Genomic DNA, 23,602 nt, shown 5'->3' with positions numbered 1-23,602 from the left:
CGCCGCTGGTCTGCGTAGGGACCCGGCGCCGATGAAACCGACCAAACTGGAGTTAGCTACCGGACTGTCCCGCGAGCGGTGAGCTGCCCGCGGGGAATAAGCGTGGGGACCGAGGAAACCCTAGAACCATGTTTCTCAAACTTGCCTGCCAGTAAGACTTTCCGGGACATTTGTTAAAATGCAGATCCTTGGGCCCTATCTTTAGACATACAGAATTTCCAGAAAAAATAGTCTGGAAGTCTGTGTTTTTAACAAATGGTTAGCTGGCAAGATTGTGAAACAGCTCTAGAGGAGGGAGACACAGGTGGAGGGGTGGTCGCGGGGCTGAGGAAGCAGCCCGGTGGGCGTGGAGCTGAGTTTGAAAGGGAAGGGTTTTGAAAAGCCTGAGGGCTGGAGCCAGTGATTTAGAGCATCTGGAAGCCACTGAGCCTGTGGCCTAAGTGGAAGTATAGATACTAACAGAATTCAGAAAACGTTGTCCACTGCCTCTAGTCTGTGGGAATTCCAGTAGATGAAAGCCAAGGGGTCCATTAAAATGGATTCCACCCATGTAAGAAACCTGCACATGTACCCCCCAAACCGAAAAGCTGGAAAACAACAACAAAACGAACAAACAAAAAAACAAAAAACACCAACAAAAAGCTAACAATAAAATGGATCCCTAGAGCCTGTAAAGAAGCTCTAAGCTGTTCCCACCGGTGGCCTGGGAGAGAGAGATCTAGTAAGAGGAGTCCCAAAGTAACACGAGATATCTAGAAGGTGGAAAGTAGGCAAAAGCAGTTTCTCAAACTTTAGAACACAATCTCTTTTAAAAGAAAACCAAAGACACTTCACAAGTGCGGACATTATTTTTATTATAATGTTCTAAAATATATCCAAATCCACTTTAGGTTCAGTTTAAGCTCCTGAAGCTTTTAATTTTCTAAAACAATAAAAACTACCAATACAGTTTAAATTAATATTGTTTTTAACAAGATGAATGGTGGTGTTTTGATGAAACTAAATTCTTTCTTATGGACTGCTACAATGCAAATTCTTTTGAGTTAACAGTCTATTATTTTGTGTTGTGGGTTGATTCAGTTCTCTCCTTTTCCATATTCAAGCCCCTAGAAAGTTTTCCTATAGCTTGCTGATGAGGTCCATTGACCTTCCCTTGGTTTAATAAATACTTCACTTACATACAAAGTTTGCCTCTGTCCTTTTCCAAAATTATCTAAGGTCATTAATTTTTATCTATGTGAACACCAGTTTATACACTGAAATCTATAGACGGAATCCATTTCTAAAGTGAAAGTATTAAGAATATGTCATTTCAAAATATGCTGCTCTGGCATATTGACTATATTTAGATAAAAGCACTTGAAAAATTGCTGGGCATGGTGGCTCACACTTGTAATCCTAGCACTTTGGGAGGCTGAGGCGGGCGGATCACTTGAGATCAGGAGTTCCAGACCAGCCTGGCCAACATAGCAAAACCCCATCTCTACTAAAAATACAAAAATTAGCCAGGCGTGGTGGTGCATGCCTGTAATCCCAGCTGCTCGGGAGACTGAGGCAGAAGAATCGCTTGAACCCAGAAGGCAGAGGTTGCAGTGTGCCGAAATCGCACCACTGAACTCCAACCTGAGCAACAGACCAAGACTCCATCTCAGGAAAAAAAAAAAAAAAAAGCACTTGAAAAATGACAGGTAAAAGACGATTGCTCTGACTTTTATTCTGTTTTTTGTTTTTTGTTTTGAGACAGGTTCATGCTCTGTTTCCCAGGCTGAAGTGCAGTGGCGCAATCACAGCTCACCACAGCCTTGACTTCCCAGGCTCAAGCAATCCTCCTGCCTCAACCTCCCAAATAGCTGGGACCACAGGCGTGTACCACCATGCCCGGCTCATTTATTTTTGTAGAGACAGGGGTCTCGCCATGTTGCTCAGGCTGGTCTCGAACTCCTGGGCTCAAGCAATCCTCCCACCTCAGCCTCCCAAAGTGCTGGGACTACAGGTGTGAGCCAACACACCCTGCCTGTTCTTTTTCTTAAAAGCAGGAGAATAAATTTTTATGTGAAAGATTTCCTCCCTATACTAGAAAGTATCATTCTTACCATCAAGGACTAGAAGCTGAAGCCAAGGAAAAGCTGTACAAACAAATGTTTTTACAGGAACCCTTCACCAATCAACTACCCTAGCCCTAGCCCAAGCTCCTTTACCTTGTCACATTTTCTTTTTTCTTTTTTTTTTTGAGATGGAGTTTCACTCTTGTTGCCCAGTCTGGAGTGCAATGGTGCAATCTTGGCTCACCACAACCTCTGCCTCCTGGGTACAAGCGATTCTCCTGCCTCAGCCTCCCGAGTAGCTGGGATTACAGGCATATGCCACCATGCCCGGCTAATTTTTTTGTATTTTTAGTAGAGACAGGGTTTCATCATATTGGTCAGGCTGGTCGCAAACTCCTGACCTCAGGTGATCCACCCACCTCGGCCTCCCAAAGTGCTGGGATTACAATCATGAGCCACCGCGCCCGGCCACATTTTCACAATTTACTATGCTCTTATTTTTTCTTTTTTTTTTTTTTTGAGACGGAGTCTCACTCTATCGCCCAGGCTGGAGCGTAGTGGTGCGATCTGGGCTCACTGCCACCTCTGCCTCCCAGGTTCAAGCGATTCCTCTGCCTCAGCCTCCTGAGTAGCTGGGATTATAGGCATGTGCCACCACGCCCAGCTAATTTTTGTATTTTTAGTAGAGATGAGGTGTCACCATGTTGTCCAGGCTGGTCTCGAACTCCTGACCTCAAGTGATCTGCCCACCTCGGCCTCCCAAAGTGCTGGGATTACAGGCATGAGCCACCGCACCCGGCCTACTGTCCTTTTTCTAACTTAGTATGCAAGTATACAACTCTGCGTCTTTGGGTCTCCATTTCTTATGAAGGCTCCCATGCCACATTAAACTTGTATTAACTAAATTTGCTTGTTTTTCTCCTCTTGATCTGCTGTATGTCAATTTAATTCTTAGGCTCAGCCACAAAAAAAAAAAAAACCCTAAGATGGAAGAGGTAAGATTTTGCCTTCCCTACAAAATAGCATGGCCATTCATGAGGTTTCAGGTGATCCAAATTTTCTGTTTTAGCCAAAGTTAGAAAACAGAGCCTGAAGTAAAAACTCAAGTGATAGGCTGGGCATGGTGGCTCACACCTGTAATCCCAGCACTTTGAAAAGCCAAAGCAGGAGGATCACTTGAGCCCAGGAGTTTGAGACCAGCCTAGGCAACATAATGAGACCCTGTCTGTAAAAAAAGAAAAGAAAAACCTCCTTATTAAGCTTAGATGAAAAAATTCCTGGCAAGGCATGGTGGCTCATGCCTATAATCTTGGCACTTTGGGAGGCTGAGGTGGGAGGATTGCTTGAGGCCACGGGTTTGAGACCAGCCTTGGCAACATAGTAAGACCCTGTCTCTATAAAAATAAAAAAAATAAAAAATTAGCTGGGCATGGTGGTGTACACCTGTAGTCCCAGCTGCTCAAGAGGCTGAGGTGGGAGAATCACTTGAGCCCAGGAATTTGACATTGCAGTGAGCTATAATCACACCACTGCACTCCAGCCTGGGCAAGAGTGAACCCCTATCTGTACCAAAAAAAAAAAAAAAAAATTAAAATCCTAAATAAAATATTAGCAAACTTAATTTGTGTATATATGTTATTCTGACTAAGTTTGGTTTATCGCTGGAATGCAAAAAAATTTAACATTAGAGGTCTACCAGCCTGGGCAACATGGTACAACCCTGTCTCTACAAAAAATACAAAAATTAGGCTGGGTGCAGTGGCTCACGCCTGTAATCCCAGCACTCTGGGAGGCCGAGGTGGGTGGATCACGAGGTCTGGAGATGGAGGCCATCCTGGCTAACACGGTGAAACCCCGTCTCTACTAAAAAAAATACAACAAATTAGCTGGGCTTGGTGGGAGGCGCCTGTAGTCCCAGCTACTCAGGAGGCTGAGGCAGGAGAATCACTTGAACCCGGGATGGGGAGCTTGCAGTGAGCCAGGATGCACCACTGCACTCCAGCCTGGGCAACAGAGCAAGACTCCATCTAAAAAAAAAAAAAATTAGCTGGCATGGTGGCATGAGCCTGTAGGGCATGAGCTACTCGGGAGACTGAGGTGGGAGGATTGCTTGAGCCCAGGAGGCAGAGGTTGCCTGAGCCGAGATTGCACCACTGTACTCCAGCCTGAATGACAGAGTGAGACCCTGTCATACACACACACATACAAAAAGAACCATTAGAAGTCTATTAATGTATTTCACCACATCTCCTAATGCAAAAGAAAAACATTTCATAACCATCAACATTCATTCATGATTTTAAAAAAAACTTTACAAACTATGAATATAAAAGCACTTTCTTAATCTGAGTATGGCTATCTTTTTTTTGGTTTTTTTTTGAGATGGAGTCTTGGTCTGTCGCCAGGCTGGAGTGCAGTGGCACGATCTCAGCTCACTGCAACCTCCTCCTAACGGGTTCAAGTGATTCTCCTGCCTCAGCCTCCTGAGTAGCTGGGACTACAGGTGCGCGCCACCATGCCCGGCTAATTTTTTTTGTATTTTTAGTAGAGACGGGTTTTCACCATTTTGGCCAGGATGGTCTCGATCTCTTGGCCTCGTGATCTGCCCACCTCAGCCTCCCAAAGTGCTGGGATTACAGGCATCAGCCACGGTGCCCAGCTGAGTATGGCTATCTTAAAAAAAAACTTACAGCAAATATCATACTAAAAAAAAAAAACTTACAGCAGATATCATACTTGGTGAAATGTTGCAAGTATTTCCTTTGAGATCAGCAATAAGACAAGTGTATACGCCCTCATCGCTTCTATTCAACACTGTTCCCAGAGGTCCTAGCCAGTGCAATAACACAATAAAAAAGAAAAAAAAGAGATAAAAGGTTTGGGAAGTAGTAGACTGTTACTCATATATAATCTGATTGTCTACATGGAAAACCCAAAGACTCTATAAAATAAAATTAATGTGTCCTTACCAGTGTTGCTGGATATAAAATCAATATTTTAAAAATACTGCATTTCTATACAGTGGCTACAAACAGAAAATACAATTTCTAAAAGAATAACATTTGCAATATCAACAAAAATCTATGATCCCAATAACTCAAAAATAAAAACTCGAGCTGGGCATGGTGGCTCATGCCTGCAATCCCAACGGTTTGGGAGGCTGAGGCAGGTGGATTGCTTTCGCCCAAGAGTTTGAAATTCCCCTGGCAACTTGGCAAAACCCCATCTCTACTAAAAATACAAAAATTAGCTGGGCATGCTGGCGCAGGCTTGTAGTCCCAGCTTCTCGGAAGGCTGAGATGGGAGGATCCCTTGAGACTGGGAGATGGAAACTGCAGTGAATCGAGATCAGGCCACTGTACAGAGCGAGACCCTGTCTCAAAAACAAACAAACAAATGAAAAAACAAAACAAAACAAAAAACTTATGCATGGCCTTAAATATAAAAGAAAAAATTTTAACTACTGAAAATCATTAAATTAGCACTACCAAAATGGAGAGACTTACCGTACTCATGGAAAAGAAGACTTGATATTAGAGAAATGTCAGTGCTTCATGAATTGTTTATAAATTTGCAATTCCTAACAAAATCATGAAAGGACTTTTCATGAAATGAAAAATTGATGTTAAAGTTTATATGAAAGAGTCAAGGACCAAGAATAACCCAAGTAGAGAGAGAGATTATTAATCTATACTAATTAAGACCGTGTTGTCATGGAGATAAATATATAAATAATGGAAGAGAAAAGAACCATAGAAGAGAAAACACCCCAAGTACTGGGGTAATTGGTTCTCATAAGGAAAAAAATATTGAATATCTCACTTCCTACACAGTAATCAACTCTAGATAAAGACCAAAATGCATCAAGGAAAACTTTAACATGTTCAGAAGAATATATAGGTCTTTTTTTTTCTGAAATTAAGGTAGGGAAGGAGTTATTAAATAAGCCACAAAAAGCACAAAACATGAGAAAAATAGTGATACATTTGACTATATTAAAAAGTAAAGCTTCTGTTTTTTAGAAGATACCATTAAAAGCAAACTAACAAGTGAAAAAGAGAAAAGACAAGCTACAGTCTGGGAAAAGACATTTGCAACACATATTATCAATGAAATATTAGTATCTAATAGAAATGTGTGTGTGTTCTAAAAATTTCTTAGAAAAGCAGAACTCAGTAGGAAAAATGGGCAAAATATAAGAAATAGCAATTAACAGAAGAGAAACTCCACATGGCCAATAATCAGGAAAATACTCTCAGTCTCTCAATAAGTAGAGAATGGCAAATTAAAACACAGTAGTGAGATATCATTTTATACCCATCAGCTTGGCAAAAAGTTAAAGATTGCCAATATCAGGTGCCAACAATGGTGCAGAGCAGTGGGAACTCTTTTACTTGCCAGTGGTAAAATTCCTTTGGAGAAAAATTTGGCAGTATATAGTAAAGTTGAAATGTCCAACCCAGAAGTGGCCACTCCTAGTTTTAAACCTTAAAGAAGCTCTTGCACATGTGCTAAATGATATATACAAAATCATAAAGGCAACATTGTAAAAGTGAAAAAAAAGAAATACTCAAAGATCAATCATTAGGAAAAATTAATTTCTTACAATGGAATATTGTATAGTAAATATTGTAGAGCTACATACATCAACCCAGATGACTCTCACAAACAAAACATAAAGCAGAAAAGAAAGCTAAAGACAGAATAATATCATTAATATCATTGATAACATGTAAAATTGTGAAAAACAGTACTATATATGGTTTAGGTATACATACATCTGTAGTAAAAGCATAAAAACATGAGTAGTCTAAATTTTAGATAAATCCTAAATTTAAGAGAATGAAGAGGAAGAAAGGTATAGAGGGGTTTCAAATGTATTTGTAATGTTTTATATTTTAAGCTGACCTGTGGGTCCATAGGTGTTATACTATTCTTATACTTTTATCATGAAATATTTTATGAAATATTTTCAAGGTAATGTTATTTTTATTGAATTAGACACTTTGTTCAGAATATAGTATCATATTTGAAATGTGGTCTGAAAAGTCAACAATAAGCTTAAAATTTTGTTATAAAAATAATCAGATATATGCAAATTTCAAAAATCTACGAAGATTTTATAATTTTTTTTTCTGCTCAGTTCTGAGGCTTAAGATTTTATAATTTTATTCTGTAGGCTGTACTTTGCATTTTGAAGAGTCTAAGAATACATTCCATATCTTCAAATATTTTATTGTGGGCAATTTATAATAACATAGCCTGGGTAATGCCAATGTGTGAGTATACAAATTTAATTTATAGTCTACTGAATTCATTTTTCCTTCTAAGCACTGATTTCATATACAGAATATTGTTCACATTGAGGTATTTTATTGGTTAAATTCCATATACACTGGAATAATGTTTAATTTTAAACTGTGTTTTTGGTTACATTTGTAGTAAAAGAATGTGAAGCACAATTGGGGAAACTGGGATATTTATCACTTAAATAGCTATACTTCCTGGGCAATTGAAAAAACGGGTTACCTCAAATCTATAGACAATATATGGCAATATTTTATTTACTTATTTAGAGATAGTCTCCCTCTGTCACCCAGGCTGGAGTGCAGTGGCATGATCATAGCTTACGCTAACCTGGAACTCGTGGGCTCAAGCAATCCTCTTGCCTCAGCCTACCCAGTAGCCAGAACTACAAACACGCACCACCGCCCCCCGGCATGTTTCCCATATTTAACAGTCCTGATATATTTCTGGTGATACAGTTAAGATAAACTTATCTGTGAACAAACCAGTAACAGAATAATAATAATGATAGCAAATGTTTATTGACCTATGTACCAGGTACTGTGCAGAACACTCTATAATGAGTATTTCACCAATCCTCACATTATCCCTTGGAAATAGGGACTATTATTATCCTTATTTTGTAAGAAATTGAAGTAACCTGCCCAAGATGCCTAACTAGTAAGTGATGAAGCCAAAATTGGAACCAGGCAATCTGGATTGAAAAACCCTGGATTGGCCGGGCTCAGTGGCTCACGCCTGTACTCCCGGCACTTTAGGAGGCTGAGGCAGGCAGATCACCTGAGGTCAGGAGTTCGAGACTAGCCTGGCCAACATGGTGAAACCCCGTCTCTACTAAAAATACAAAAATTAGCCGGGCATGGTGGCAGGCGCCTGTTAATCTCAGCTACTCGGGAGGCTGAGGCAGAATTGCTTGAACCCAGGAGGCGGAGGTTGCAGTGAGCCGAGATCGCGCCATTGCACTCCAGCCTGGGCAACAAGAGCAAGACTTCATATCAAAAAAAACAACAACAACAACAACAAAAACAAAACACAACAAAAAACCCTGGATTATGTTGCCTCTTTGTGGATTATGGTTGTACTAATAAAACATAAATTTCTAGGCCAGCTTCATTTTCAAGTATTTTGCACCATTGTCCTATGTACTTAAGGTTTTCACACCATGTGTTCTGATTTAGGGATTTCAGACATATGGTCTCTATGGGTACTATGGGAAAAGGAGCCAAGAGACCTGGTCCCTTTCTCAACTGTCACTAGCTTGAGTAGCTTAAGATAAATCTCTGGGGCTTAGTTTTTTTGTTTGTTTGTTTTTTTGGTTTTTTTTTTGTTGAGGTGGAGTCTCGCTCTGTCGCCCAGGCTGGAGTGCAGTGGCGTGATCTCGGCTCACTACAAGCTCCCCCTCCCAGGTTCACGCCATTCTCCTGCCTCAGCCTCCCAAGTAGCTGGGACTACAGGCGCCCGCCACCATGCCTGGCTAATTTTTTGTATTTTTTAGTAGAGGTTTCACCGTGTTAGCCAGGATGGTCTCGATCTCCTGACCTTGTGATCCGCCCGCCTCGGCTTCCCAAAGTGCTGGGGACTTAGTTTCTTCACCTGTGAAATGAGAACATTAGAGGATATTCCTCGAGGGCCTTTTTTACTCCAAGAGTGAATAATAATCCTTTAAAAGATGCTCATAAGGCCGGGCGCGATGGCTCACGCCTGTAATCCTAGCACTTTGGGAGGCCGAGGTGGGTGGATCACGAGGTCAGGAGTTCAAGACCAGCCTGGCCAAGATGGTGAAACCCGTGTCTACTAAAAATACAAAAATTAGCCGGGCATGGTGGTGGGCGCCTGTAATCCCAGCTACTCGGGAGCCTGAGGCAGAGAATTGCTTGAACCCAGGAGGCAGAGGTTGCAGTGAGCCGAGATCACGCCACTGCACTCCAGCCTGGGTGACAGAGCGAGACTATCTCAAAAAAAAAAAAAAAAAAAAAAAAGATGCTCATAAACCAGGCGTAGTGGTGCACCCCTGTAGGTCCCAGCTGAGGCATAGGCAGGAGGAGCACTTGAGCCCAGGAGTTCAAAGATTGCAGTGCATGGCTCGGGCGCAGTGGCTCATGCCTGTAATCCTAGCACTTTGGGAGGCCGAGGCAGGCCAATTGCCTGAGCTCAGGAGTTCAAGACCAGCCTGAGCAACACAGTGAAACCCCGTCTCCATTAAAATTAAAAAAAAAAAAATTAGCCGGGCATGGCGGCGTGTGCCTATAGTCCCAGCTACTTGGGAGGCTGAGGCAGGTGAATTGCTTTAACCAGGGAGGCGGAGGTTGCGGTGAGCCGAGATTGCGCCACTGCACTCCAGCCTGGGAGACAGAGCAAGACTCCGTCCCTAAAAAAAAAAAAAAAAAAAAAGGGGGGGGGGGCGGGGGCCAGGCACGGTGGCTCACTCCTGTAATCCCAGCACTTTAGGAAGCCGAGGTGGGCGGATCTCAAGGTCAGGAGTTCAAGACCAGCCTGGCTAACATGGTGAAACCCCATCTCTACTAAAAATACAAAAATTTGCTGGGTATAGTGGCACATGCCTGTAATCCCAGCTGCTTGGGAGGCTGAGGCAGGAGAATTGTTTGAACCCAGGAGACGGAGGTTGCAGTCAGCCAAGACCGTGCCACTGCACTCCAGCCTGGCGACAGAGCGAGAGTCGTCTCAAAAAAAAAAAAAAGGTTGCAGTGCACTATGATCATGCCTACATGCCTGTGAATAGCCACTACACGCCAGCCTGGGAACCATAACATGAGATCCAGTCTCTTAAAAGAAAAAAGAGGTCGGGCGCGGTGGCTCACGCCTGTAATCTCAGCACTTTGGGAGGCCGAGGCGGGCCAATTGCCTGAGCTCAGGAGTTCGAGACCAGCCTGGCCAATATGGTGAAAACCCATCTCTACTAAAAATATAAAAATTAGCTGGGGCGTGGTAGCACGCTCCTGTAATCCCAGCTACTCGGGAGGCTTGTGACAGGAGAATCGCTTGAACCTGGGAGGGGGAGATTGCAGTGAGCTGAGATTGTGCCACTGCACTCCAGCCTGGGTGACAAGAGCGAAACTCCGTCTCAAAAAAAAAAAAGAAAAGAAAAAAAGATACTTGCAATGATTCAAATACTACTCAGGAAGAAAAAAAGATTTAAAAGTAAAAGTGAATGAGTAATGAGTATTGTGCGTTTAATTTTGATGCTTTAAATCTTTTTATGAAGTTATGTCTATAAACTTAGAAAATACCTCAGTGCCCCTAAAAATGTCTATAAACTAGCTTATCAAATAGTTTCATATAAGGGAATTATTTAAAGAGTAAGTCAGAATAACTTTTCCTTAAATTGCTATGATATCATAATGCTCCTTTTTTCTTTAATCTTCAGAAAGTTGGAAATAATACCTAAACCTACTTCTTGACATGGTGTCAAAACAGAGCTTTTGCTGAGAGTTTGATTTATAAAGAAATTATGGTTCGACTGACCTTGGATCTAATTGCCAGAAACAGCAATCTTAAACCCCGAAAAGAAGAAACCATTTCACAGTGCCTGAAGAAAATAACTCATATAAATTTTTCAGACAAAAATATAGATGCAATTGTAAGAACTTTGAAATTATTTCCTATTTTATATAATTAATAATGTAAAATTTAGGAATTGGTTTGGGAGCATACCTAATATTTTAACTATATTTTCATTATTCTTATTAACTTTTTTTTTTGAGATAGAGTCTCTCTCCGTCTGTTGCCCAGGCTGGAGTATAGTGACATGATCAAAGCTCACTGCAACCTCCACCTCCCAGGTTCAAGCGACTCTTGTACCTCAGCCTACCGAGTAGCTGGGATTACAGGCATGTGCCACCATGCCCAGCTAACTTTTGTATTTTTAGTACAGATGGGGTTTCACCATGTTGCCCAGGTTTACCATGTTGAGTTCTTGAGCTCAGACTTCTGAGCTCAAGAAGTGATCCGCCTGCCTTGGCCTTCCAAAGTGCTGGGATTACACACGCAAGCCACTGCACTCGGCCTTATTTAACTTATTTTTATCAGTAAGCTTTATATTGTGTTTTTATTTTAACTTCCTACTTGTGATTTTAAATTTGTTAAAATTAAATCTATAAAATATACTATTGTGATTTTTAAATACATAGATTAAATATATGTATTACAGTTCTCCTACAACACTGTATAGTGTAGCAAACTAGATTTGAAAGTGTATGTTGGGAAATAATTTCATAGATACTAATTACTTTTGTATTATTGTAAAACCTTGAAATATAAATTTTTGAAATATACCAAAATGTTAAGAAGTAAGTATGTGAGTACCGTTTTTCAAAAGTTTAACAGTGAGGGAAGGTTGGGAAGGGGATGAGGGATAAAAGACTACATATTGGGTACAGCATACACTGCTTAGGTGAAGGATGCATTAAAATCTCAGAACTCACCACTAAAGAATTTATCCTGGCTAAGCGTGGTGGGTCACACCTGTAATACAGCCTGGGCAACAAAGTGAGACTACGTCTCAAAAAAGAAGAACCTATCCACGTAACCAAAAACCACCTTTACCCCAAAAACTATGGAAATAAAAATTAAAATTCACACAAGAAAAAAAGAGTTTAACAGTGAAATCTTTTTTGCACAGAATTTAACTGGTTATGTAAATGTATGTTATACTTGGGTCAATTACATCAGACAAGTTTATGTTTATCTGGATATAATCTGAAACTACATTTTCTCAGCACTAAGGTAATTCTTGGCTGTAATTTGGGAAACTTTAAAGGCTGCAATAACACTCTTAGGCCATTTGTGTTGGTATCTGTTGTCTACAGTAAATGCTAGACTACAGGTGAGCTAAATTTTCTTGGAAACACAGGAACTACCTGAGGGCAGAAATCATGTCTATTGTTTCACATCACTCTAAATCCCTCATCCATTACAATGCCTGACTCATGTACTTAATAAATATTTATTGAACAAATGAAAGAAATACTAATGCCCCAGGCAAAATGATCAATTAAATGCTTGGTTTTTTTGTAGGGACCCCAACCCAGCTCCCATTCTAGATCCCTTTCTGGTTTCCTGGTGATCCTTCTTCCCACGAATTCCTTTGCCCAAACCTAATGTTTCTCTTTTGTTGCCCAGAACTCTCTACCTCATCATATCATGTAAGACTACTTTCTCTGGAGAGCCCCCAGTAAAGCCCCTATTTCATACTCTGTCCTCACATCAATCAGTGCTCCTCCAGGGTGGATGATCTTTGTTAGAAGGAAGGCAAATTGGTTAAAGTAATTCACACTAAAATGAGAATAACTTCTAAACTTACAGTTTCCAACACATAGCTGTATTTTAAAAGAAGTTAATGAAGGCTGAGAAATTTTTGAGCAGAACTTCACTTTACCGCTTGTCTATTTACTCTAGGCTGATCTCTGCCATGACACAAGAAATGGCAGCCTTTTTAAAAATCCCTTTAATTATTTTATCTCAAAAGTAACTGGTAGCTGGGCATGGTGGCGCATGCCTATAATCCCAGCTACTCTAGAGGCTAGGGCGCTAGGATCACTTGAGCCCAGGAGTTTGACACCAGCCTGGGCAGACCCTGTTTCAAAAAAAAAAAAAAAAAAGTAATTGATGTTCTTTTTCATATAATATACATATAATAAGAAAGAATGTAATCCTATTCAGACACAATCACTTTTAATATTTAGGTAATATCCTTTCAGTCTTTTATTCATATAATTTTACAGTAGTGGGTCATATTGAATGTACTATTTTCACTTAACTATATATTATGAATTTCACTTAACTATGTATTAGATATTGCTGAAGAAACAAAAGGATATTTAATGGTTCTACAGTATTTCTTTTGATAGCATTATCATAGTTTTTAAAAAATTAATCTATGAGGCTGGGCGCGGTGGCTCACACCTGTAATCCCAGCACTTTGGGAGGCCCAGGCAGGTGGATCACGAGGTCAGGAGTTCGAGACCAGCCTAGCCAACATAGTGAAACCCCGTCTCTACTAAAAATACAAAAATTAGCCGGGCATGGTGGCACACACCTGTAGTCCCAGCTACTCAGAAGACTGAGGCAGGAGAATCACTTGAACCCAGGAGGCGGAGGTTATGGTGAGCCGAGATGGCGTCACTGCACTCCAGCCTGGCCAACAGAATGAGACTCCATCTCAGGAAAAAAAAATAATAATAATCTATTATTCTTGGATATCTAGATGACTCCCAGTTTTCAGTATTATAAACCACAATAGTTGACTTCCAATTCTACAGAAATATTAAACCCTATTTATAATGTTGAGACAATAATTTATTCAATGCTCCAACTTCCAGAGGAGCCTAATTGCTTCCAAGGAAAATTGCTTGCACTGGGAAAATCTTAACAATTCCAGTTTTATTGATATAATTACAGAATTTCTAAAAAAAGAAAAATATATTACAGAATTTCTTTTGTAATCAGTCTAGTCTTGTTTTAACTGTGCCAAGAACAGAGAAATACTGTTCTTTTATATTAACCTTAGAGAAATTTGTAGAATGATCAACTGAAAATTTTTGTTAAAAACAAACTTTTAAGTTTTCAGGAGAAATTACATTTGACATGTTTTTGTTTCCCTTTTAGGAAGACCTCTCTCTTTGCAAAAATCTTAGTGTTTTATATTTATATGATAATTGTATTAGTCAAATCACTAACCTGAATTATGCCACAAATCTGACCCACTTGTACCTACAAAACAATTGTATTTCATGTATAGAGAACCTCAGGTCATTAAAGAAACTGGAAAAACTGTAAGTGCTTTTATTTTTTAATAATGTATCTGATTTTTATGATTATGGTACTTACATTTTTTTGCATGAAGGCATTTCCATTTTTTGCATTAAATTCCAAAAGTAAATTCAATATGAAATTGATATGATTTCATACTTATATGAAAAAAAACCATATGATTCCCACATGGGTTTTGTGGAACAGACCTCAATTTCTATTTTCTCCTACTATTATTAACAAGAAGTAAATTGTTTCACATATAATATTAATAATTTGTGTTTTATTAAGCCTGATATACTTTTCATTCTGGGGAAGGGTTGTCTTAAGTGCTAATAGGGATACTTAAAACATCCTCATGTGGGCTCAACTGATAAAAGAAGTTTCCACGGAACCCAGATGAGTTATGTGCCTTTCAGAATCATATATCTCATACCATCTGCGTCATATAATTGATCCAATTGATGTAAACTTGATTGTAAAAAGGCATTTACTACCTATAGTGATTATAATTAGACAATGAAGATTGGTGGATCCAATTTCCCCAGACTGGAGTAACTATCATGCTCCTCAAAGAAACGGCTAAAAGCCTCAGAATGGGGACACAAGAGTTGGCTGGTGAATGCTTATTAAAAATGCAGAGCACTGGGTTCCAACCTACATATCCAAATTAGAATCTCCAGGGGTTAGGCCCAGATATCTTCATTTTTCCTTTTATCTCTTGGTTTTGAGACAGAGTCTCGCTCTGTCACCCAGGCTGGAATGCAGTGGCGCGATCATGACTCATCTCAGCCTTGATGTCCTAGGTCCAAGTGATCTTCCCACTTCAGCTTCCTGAGTAGCTGGGACCACAAGTATGCACCACAATAACTGACTGGCTTGCTTATTTATTTATTTATTTATTTATTTATTTATTTATTTAGAGATGGGATCTCCCTATGTTGCCCAGACTGGTCTTAAACTCCCAGGCTCCCAAAGTGCTGGGATTACAGGTGTGAACCACTGTGTCTAGCCGTGAAATCTTCATTTTTTAAACCTACAACCCAAAAATGGTTATTATCAAACTATCTACCCGGGCTTTTCATATGTTAGGCAACATATGAATTGTATGTTGCAATTCGCTCACTTTTTTAAAAAGCAAAAAAAAAATGTACTTTTAGACTAAATTAAGTGTAAGAATATAATTTGTTCTCATTTAGATAAACCAACCTTTCATAGATTCAATATAACACAACATTCCACATTTATAATTTTGTTCAGCTCAGTGATTTTGTTATTACACTTTTGTCACGTTTAATAAAGACCATGACATTCTCAGAATGTCTGTTTAGAATTATGTCTATGTTTTGCAGGTATCTGGGAGGCAATTACATTGCTGTCATAGAAGGTTTAGAAGGATTAGGAGAACTAAGAGAGCTTCATGTTGAGAATCAGAGGCTTCCCCTTGGGGAAAAGCTTCTGTTTGATCCAAGAACTCTTCATTCTCTGGCAGTAAGTTCACATTTGAATATTTTGACAAGGAATATAGTGATTAACAAGTTATAATGAAACAGGAATGTGGTGAAGGTATATTTGGACATTGTACATCCTCTTCATGTTTATATGGCCAGCTCAGAGCTTATCAGAGGACTGAAGCTGATTTTCTCATGTACAATCTCAGAGACTCAGCATTTATAAAGTGGGATAATAAAACCTGCCTCTTTGGGTAACTGGAAGGATGAAAAGAAGAATGTGAAAAGGTATGTTAACTGAAGTTCTAATACAGATGTTCATTCATTCATAATGTGGACCTTGGTGATTATCATGGCTCAACATTTTAAATTTTAGGAAAATGCCTAAGGAGAGAGGAATGTGCAATTATTTGGAAACTTTTAAACAATCTAGTAGAGAGCCATTGGAATAATAAGTTGTTTTCTCCTAGGATCCTGATTTGATTGTAGATTGCACTACATACAGCTCTACCACATCAGAACTATGTAGGCCTGGGAGCCCTGGGGTTGGGGCCCCAACTGTGTCGCCTGAAACCAGTCACATTGGATGGAGGTGCCACAATAAATTGAGAAGCCAGAGGGTACCACTTAGGCTCCTGCTAATCCTCAAAACAAGAGGCTTGTTGGGACAGGCTAACTTTAATTCTGGGGCAGGACACATAAATGGGACATGGTAGTTGTTTTACAGATTTCATCAGTTTTATTTTATTTTATTTTTATTTTAAAAATTAAAAAAACCCTGTCGCCCAAGCTGGAGTGCAGTGGCACGACCTCTGCTCACTGCAACCTCCACCTCCCCGGTTCAAGCAATTCTTCTGCCTCAGCGTCCCAAGTAGCTGGGACTACAGGCGTGCGCCACCACGCCTGGCTAATTTTTGTATTTTTAGTAGAGATGGGGTTTCACCATGTTGGCCAGGCTAGTCTGGGATTACGGTGTTGGGATTACAGTCGTGAGCCACCGTGCCCGGCCTCATCAGTTTTATTTTAGAGGGCCCAGAAATAGAGGATAGTGGATGGATTTTGACCCAAATTTATAAAAATTAAGAGGTAGTTCTCCCAGTACTTTAGTATCAGGAAATATTTTTTCTAAAGGTTGGCTGTGCATGGATGCCTCCATGTTTTTTTTAAACTTAAACTAACAAGAACAGATACTACACTTGATCTTAGCCAAAAGGCCATGAATTGATGATTGACTCCATCTTGGTAGAGATTCCTGAGCCTCATAAGATGACTCTGATTTAGTGTTACAGCAACACTGAAATTCCTGTTAATTAGCTAATTATTATTTTAAGTAGTTCCTGAACATATGGATTGATAAGAGAAAACCATATAGACAGGTAGAGAGAAAAATAAAAACCAGATATTATTTTATTCCTGGTCATGTTTCCTATTTAGTAAAATAAAGACAAAAACTATTTCTTCCTATGTAAGCACAAATCTTTTTTTGAGACGGAGTTTTGTTCTGTCGCCCAGGCGTGATCTCTGCTCACTGCAACCTCCACCTCCCAGGTTCAAGTGATTATCCTGCCTCAGCCTCCCAAGTAGCTGGGACTACAGGCGTGTGGCACCATGCCCAGCTAATTTTTTGTATTTTTAGTAGAGATGGGGTTTCACCATGTTGGCCAGGCTGGTCTTGAACTCCTGACCTCGAGTGATCCGCCCGCTTCACCTCCTAAAGTGCTGAGATTACAGGCATGAGCCACCGCACCCCTATGTAAGTACAAATGTTAGTAATATTTTGCACAAAATGATAATTTGCTAAAGCTACAGTAAGCATTTTTTCTATATTGTGTTACTTGTTTATTGGGGCATCTTTTTTTCTTTCTTTGCTTTTTGATTCTTGGCTTCTTTATTCTATAAGTTTATTTTGTATCTTGGAAAAGAAAAATATGACTTATGGAGGAATTATAGGGAGAACGGGTAAGTTATATGACATACTGTGGTTCTAAAACTTTCATCTGAAAAAAAAATGCAATAAAAAGAATTTCATGGCTTTTGATGTTTTTGCCTAAAGAACAAAACAACCTGAACTGATCAAGCTTAAACTTTTCAAAGATTAGGATTTCTGGTTCCTATATACAGTATTTAGACTATTTACTAATGCTAACTTCGTTATTTTTCTTACAGAAATCCCTCTGTATATTGAATATCAGCAATAATAATATTGATGACATTACAGACTTAGAACTACTAGAGAATCTTAATCAGCTCATAGCCGTTGACAACCAACTTCTGCATGTGAAGGTAGTGTAAAGAGAAATTAATTTTTAAGATATTTACATGAAATTATGATTGAAAAATGTTTTGTAATAGCTATAAAATAAATATATCACATTAAAAACTACTCTGGATTTGTTCTAAAATTAGCTAATGAATCCCTACTTCTCAATGTATTTATGTGTATAATTCTGTCCTCTTATTTAGTTTTCTCCTTTATACTCCAATACCTGTATCCCTCACCAACAGAATAATAGTTTCTCTGAGAAGGGAAGTATCTCTTCTTTGCATTATTTTCCCATCAAACTTTTTCTTCTAGAGACTAGATTTCTTGTCCCTTAAGCCTGATCTCCCAATGAATGAGTTTCTAGTAACTGTGACTAGACCTGAACTCTCTCTTGGCTACTTCTTTTTGGGGAAGTACTTGAAATGATTCTGACTGAACTTACTCTAATTTCTACCAGCTATATTAATGTCATGTTATATCATATCATGCCATATTCATTCAATTATTCATTTAATCAAATATGTATTGGCCACCTAAATATTTGTCAGGCACTAATACTACTCAGTGTAGAACAAAGGAAGGAATATACGGTCTTGATCTGCAATAAACCTACAATCAACTAGTAATGGGACTACAATATGATACTGTTTTTATAAGTATTGTGATAGCCCTAAGTCAGCCTAGGGCTATAGAAGGCTTCCTCGAAACAGTCATCCATGAGTTGAGCCATTGCTATGACCTCAAAGTTTCTGGTTTGGCAACGGAATGAGCTGTGGTATAATTTCTTGACATACGAACCACAGGAAGGAGAATGAGCTTCTTTCTCCCAAAAACAGCTTTTGTTTTCAGAACTACTTCCACACAGCCATTTGGTGACCCTAAAAATGTTACGTCGACCTTGTTTCCAAATTCAGACCTATTACCTGGTTCATCCCAAAGCTGTTATAAGCAATATATAATTATGAAAATAAATATATGTATTCTAGCACAAATGAATTCCTCAAAATATCTAAAATGCAATTGAATAATCAGGGTGGATGTTTCAAATAAGAAGACCTTAGGAAGCACAACTCAATTAGTTGTTTCAACTTACAATGTGAAAAATGTAAGACGTTCATGGGATAAATTCTGAATTAAAATATATTTTACATTTTTTTTTTCTTTTTATTTTGAGATGGAGTCTCTGTTGCCCACACTGGAGTGCAATGGCGAGATCTTGAATCACTGCAACCTCTGCCTCCCAGGTTCAAGTGATTCTCCTGCCTCAGCCTCCCGAGTATCTGGGATTACAGGTGCCTGCCACCACACCCAGCTAATTTTTATATTTTCAGTAGAGATGGGATTTCACCAGGTTGGCCAGGTTGGTCTTGAACTCCTGACCTCAGGGGATCTGCCCACCTCGGCCCCCCAAAGTGCTGGGATTACAGGTGTGAGCCACCGGACCCGGCCCTTTATTTTATTTTTTGAGACGGAGTCTCACTCTGTAGCCCAGGCTGGAGTGCAGTGGCGTGATCTTGGGTCACTGAAACCTCCGCCTCCCAGGTTCAAGCCATTCTCCTGCCTCAGCCTCCCGAGTAGCTGGGACTACAGATGTGCACCACCATGCCTGGCTTATTTTTGTATTTTAGTAGAGACAGGGTTTCACCATGTTGGCCAGGCTGGTCTCGAACTCCTGAGCTCAAGTGATCTGCCCGCCTCAGCCTCCCAAAGTGCTGGGATTCTAGGCATGAGCCACTGCACCCAGCCTGGTAACGGCCATTACTTTTAAAGAGTTATTCTATTATGCTTTTTAACTCCAAACAGAGAAAGGGGAGTTTGATAACAGGGCAAAACTTCTAGCCTCTAAATAATCCCAAAGGAGGTTTTTCTGCATGACATTAAGACAAAGATGTTTTGCCTACATGATTACTCTTAGACCATGTTAATAATGCATAACCAGAATAAATGTGCAGCCAAAATAAATACCTTCATTGTTGCTTATTATTCTAATGACCAACATCTAAATCCTCTTTTTTTTTTTTTTTTTTGAGACAGAGTCTCACTCTGTCATCCAGGCTGGAGAGCAGTGGTGTGATCTTGGCTCACTGCCACCTTCACCACCTTGGTTCAAGAGATTCTCCTTCCTCAGCCTCTCGAGTAGCTGGGATTACAGGCATGTGCCACCACGCCCAGCTAATTTTTGTATTTATAGTAGAGATGGGGTTTCGCCATGTTGGCCAGACTGGTCTCGAACTCCTAACCTCAGGTGATCCACCTGCCTCGGCCTCCCAAAGTGCTAGGATTACAGGCATGAGCCACTGCCATGGCCCAAATCCTCTTTAAAGACTGAACTTGATATCATCTCCCCTGTGTAGCTTTTCCTGAACCTCCCCATCAAGTTAATCTATTAAAAAATATTTACAGTAGTCCCAACTTATCTGTGAAGGCTACATTCTAAGACCCTCAGTGGATGCCTGAAACCATGGGTAGTATCGAATGCTACATATATTAGTTTTTCCTAAATGTACATATCTATGATAAAGTTTAATTTATAAATTAGGCATACTAAGAGATTAACAACAATAATAATAAATGGAGGCTGGGCGCGGTGGCTCACACCTGTAATACCAACACTCAATCAGGAGATCGAGACGAACCTGGCTAACACGGTGAAACCCCATCTCTACTAAAAATACAAAAAATTAGCCGTGCATGGTGGCAGGCGCCTGTAGTCCCAGATACTTGGGAGGCTGGGGCAGGAGAATCACTTGAACCTGGGAGGCGAAGGTTGCAGTGAGCCGAGATCTGCCACTGCATTCCAGCCTGGGTGACACAGCAAGACTCCGTCTCAAAAAAAAAAAAAAAAAAAAAGGAACAGTTACAATGTCAGCATCACTACTCTTGCACTTTGGGGCAAGTGAAATAAGGGTTGCTTGAACACAAGCACTATAATAGTGACACAGTAGATATGATAACCTAAGTGACTAATGGGTTGGTAGCATGTATAGAATGGAAATGCTGGACAAAGGAATAATTCATGGCCCCGGGCAGGACAAACAGGCCAGTGCAAGATTTCATCATGATACTCAGAATAGCTTCCATTGTACTCAGCTGGGCTAGATGGCTGATGCCTGTAATCCCAGCATTTTGGAAGGCCGAGGCAGGCCGATCACTTGAGGCCAGGAGTTCAAGATCACCCTGGCTGACGTGGCGAAACCTTATACAATAATTTGCCCAGAGCAATGGTGCACACCCTGTAATCTCAGCTACTCAGGAGGCTGAAGCAGAATTGCTTGAACCCAGAGCCAGAGGTTGCAGGAAGCCAGGATTGTGCCACTGCACTCCAGCCTGGGTGACAGAGTGAAAAAAAGAGCATCCATTTTAGAACTTACAAATTATTTTCTCTGGGATTTTCCATTAAATATTTTTGGACCACAGGTGACTGAGGGCAACTGAACAAGGGGGTGGTGGGAACTACTATAATATATTACATGTGCCAGGCACTGTTCTAGGCCCTTGGAAAAACACATCTTAAGATACTGGAGATACATGATAAATAAGACAAAGTCTCTACCCTCGGCCAGGCACAGTGGCTCACGCCTGTAATCCCTGCACTTTGGGAGGCTGAAGTGGGTGGATCACTTGAGGTCAGGGGTTTGAGACCAGCCTGGCCAACATGGTAAAACTCTGTCTCTACTAAAAAAAAAAAAAGAGGCCGGGCGCAGTGGCTTACGCCTGTGATCCCAGCACTTTGGGAGGCCGAGGCGGGTGGATCACAAGGTCAGGAGATCGAGACCATCCTGGCTAACATGGTGAAACCCCATCTCTACTAAAAATACAAAAAAATTAGCCGGGTGTGTGGGCGCCTGTAGTCCCAGCTACTCGGGAGGCTGAGGCAGGAGAATGGTGTGAACCCGGGAGGCATAGCTTGCAGTGAGCCGAGATCGCACCACTGCATTCCAGCCTGGACGACAGAGCGAGACTCCATCTCAAAAAAAAAAAAAAAAAAAAAAAAAGCCTCTACCCTCAAGGCGTTTACTTTACAGAGGGACAAGGGAGGAAATGGTTAAAAAAAATACATAAGCAAGGCCGGGTATGGTGGCTCATGCCTGTAATCACCGCACTTTGGGAGGCCAAGGCAGGAGAGGATTGCTTGAGGCCAGGAATTCAAAACCAGCCTGGACAACACAAGAAGACCTTTTCTCTACAAAAAAATTAAAAAAGAAATTAGCAATTAGCTTCGTGTGATGGCATGTGCCTGTACTTAGGTACTCAGTCCCAGGTACTCAGGAGGCTGGGGTGGGAGGATCGCTTGAGCCCAGGACAGGATCCCTTGTCCCAAAGTGCAAGACTGCAGTGAAGCAGTGAACTGTGATTCACCCACTGCACTCCAGACTGGATAACAGAGTGAGACCTAAGCAGAGAAGATTTTGAAAAGTGCTATGAAGGAATTAAATAAGATAACAGAAAAAAAGGAGTCAGCGGATATTTTAGATCAGGTTATTACGAAAGGCCTCGGAAGAAATGACATTTACATTGAGATCTGAAGGATGAGAAAGAAGATATGCAAAGAGCTAGGGAAAGAACATGCCAGGCACTAGCAAAAGTAGATGCAAAGGCTCTGAGGCCAAAGAAAGCTTGAGTGTCCAAGGAACACTGTAGTATGGTACCCAGTGCCTAGCTTAGTTTCTAATACATTGTAGGTGCTCAGTAAATACACTGTTGAGTGAATGAAGAGGCAACAGTACAATATGAGATTAGAAAGGAAGGCACAGAGGCCAGATCATAAAGGTCATTTTAGGATACGATCACAAGTTTTTACTTTATTCTAAGTGCAATAGAAAGCCACTGAAAGCATTGTTTTCTTTTTCTTCCCTTCCTCTGTCAACTGAAGGATTTTTAAAAAAAAAAAACAATTCTCTATTGCTATATGAAGAATGAGTTTCAAGAATTACAGCAAAGAGATAAGTTGGGAGACTACTGCAGAAGTTAAATAAGAGAAGATGGTTGCTTAGAGATGAAGAGGAGTGGGTGGGTTTGGAAGTAATGAGTTATATTTTAAGGTGGAATTCATATAACTTGTTGATGAGCAGGATGTAGGCATAAAGGAAGGGAAGGAATCAGGATGACTCCTAAATTTTGTGTGAGGAACCAGGAAGACACTGGTAGCCTTTATAAGGAAGAAACAGAATAATTCCACCTCGTAAAATGCCTATTGGATATTGAAATGGACATGTCAAGTAAGCATCTGGAGTTTAAGGGAGAAGTAAGATTGGAAAGTTTGAGAGTCAACAGCATTTACATGATATTTAAAAGTCATGGCATGGGGTGAAAGACAATAGAGACAGAGAAAAAAATGAGACCAAGACCAATCACAAAAACACTCCAGTATTTAGAGATCAGTTCCATCAGGAGTCAATGATGTAGAAGAAGAGAAAAAGGAGTTTCAAGAAAGAGGGAGTGGCCACCTGCACTGAATGATATTGAATGGTTAACATGAGGGCAGAGGAGAGTTTAAAGAATGCCTGGATAGAATACCTGAACAACAAAGTTAGAGGGGACCAGTTTAATTTGTGAAGAAGTTGAACCACAGAGTCTGTGGGTCAAAAACCACAACAAATGGTAATGCTAAAAAAAAAAAAAAAAAAAAAAGTGGGTGGATTTCATGAAAGACTAAACACTGAAATGTTAGCCAATATTTATCTCCCTCTCATGCATACAAGTAGGCTCTACTCTCAAAACCCTGCCTACATGGCTTTAAAACGCTGGGCAAAAGTTGGTGAATTCAT

General features: G+C 40.3%; 1 protein-coding gene and 1 pseudogene across 5 annotated transcripts in view; one reads left to right on the top strand and one right to left on the bottom strand.

The window, feature by feature from the left end:
* The first annotated feature begins 14 nt into the window (after positions 1–14).
* The window catches only part of PPP1R42 (protein phosphatase 1 regulatory subunit 42), a 64,452-nt gene continuing 40,864 nt past the window's right edge, over positions 15–23,602 (top strand). For 3 of the 5 annotated variants that reach the window (NM_001364912.2, NM_001364910.1, NM_001013626.4), the window contains exons 1-5: positions 15–78; positions 10,738–10,950; positions 13,977–14,143; positions 15,473–15,611; positions 17,738–17,854. In NM_001364912.2, coding sequence (NP_001351841.1) covers positions 10,822–10,950; positions 13,977–14,143; positions 15,473–15,611; positions 17,738–17,854 — 552 coding nt within the window. In that variant the 5' untranslated portion in view covers positions 15–78; positions 10,738–10,821. Of the gene's footprint in view, positions 79–10,737; positions 10,951–13,976; positions 14,144–15,472; positions 15,612–17,737; positions 17,955–23,602 lie in introns of those variants that run through there. The other 2 variants (NM_001364911.2, NM_001348563.2) reach the window with 2 other exon arrangements.
* LOC124902097 (uncharacterized) lies at positions 16,624–16,797 on the bottom strand (annotated as a pseudogene).

This window comes from Homo sapiens, chromosome 8, assembly GCF_000001405.40.
Source record: "Homo sapiens chromosome 8, GRCh38.p14 Primary Assembly".
Lineage (NCBI taxonomy): Eukaryota > Metazoa > Chordata > Mammalia > Primates > Hominidae > Homo > Homo sapiens.
This window is presented reverse-complemented; position numbering and strand designations above follow the sequence as displayed.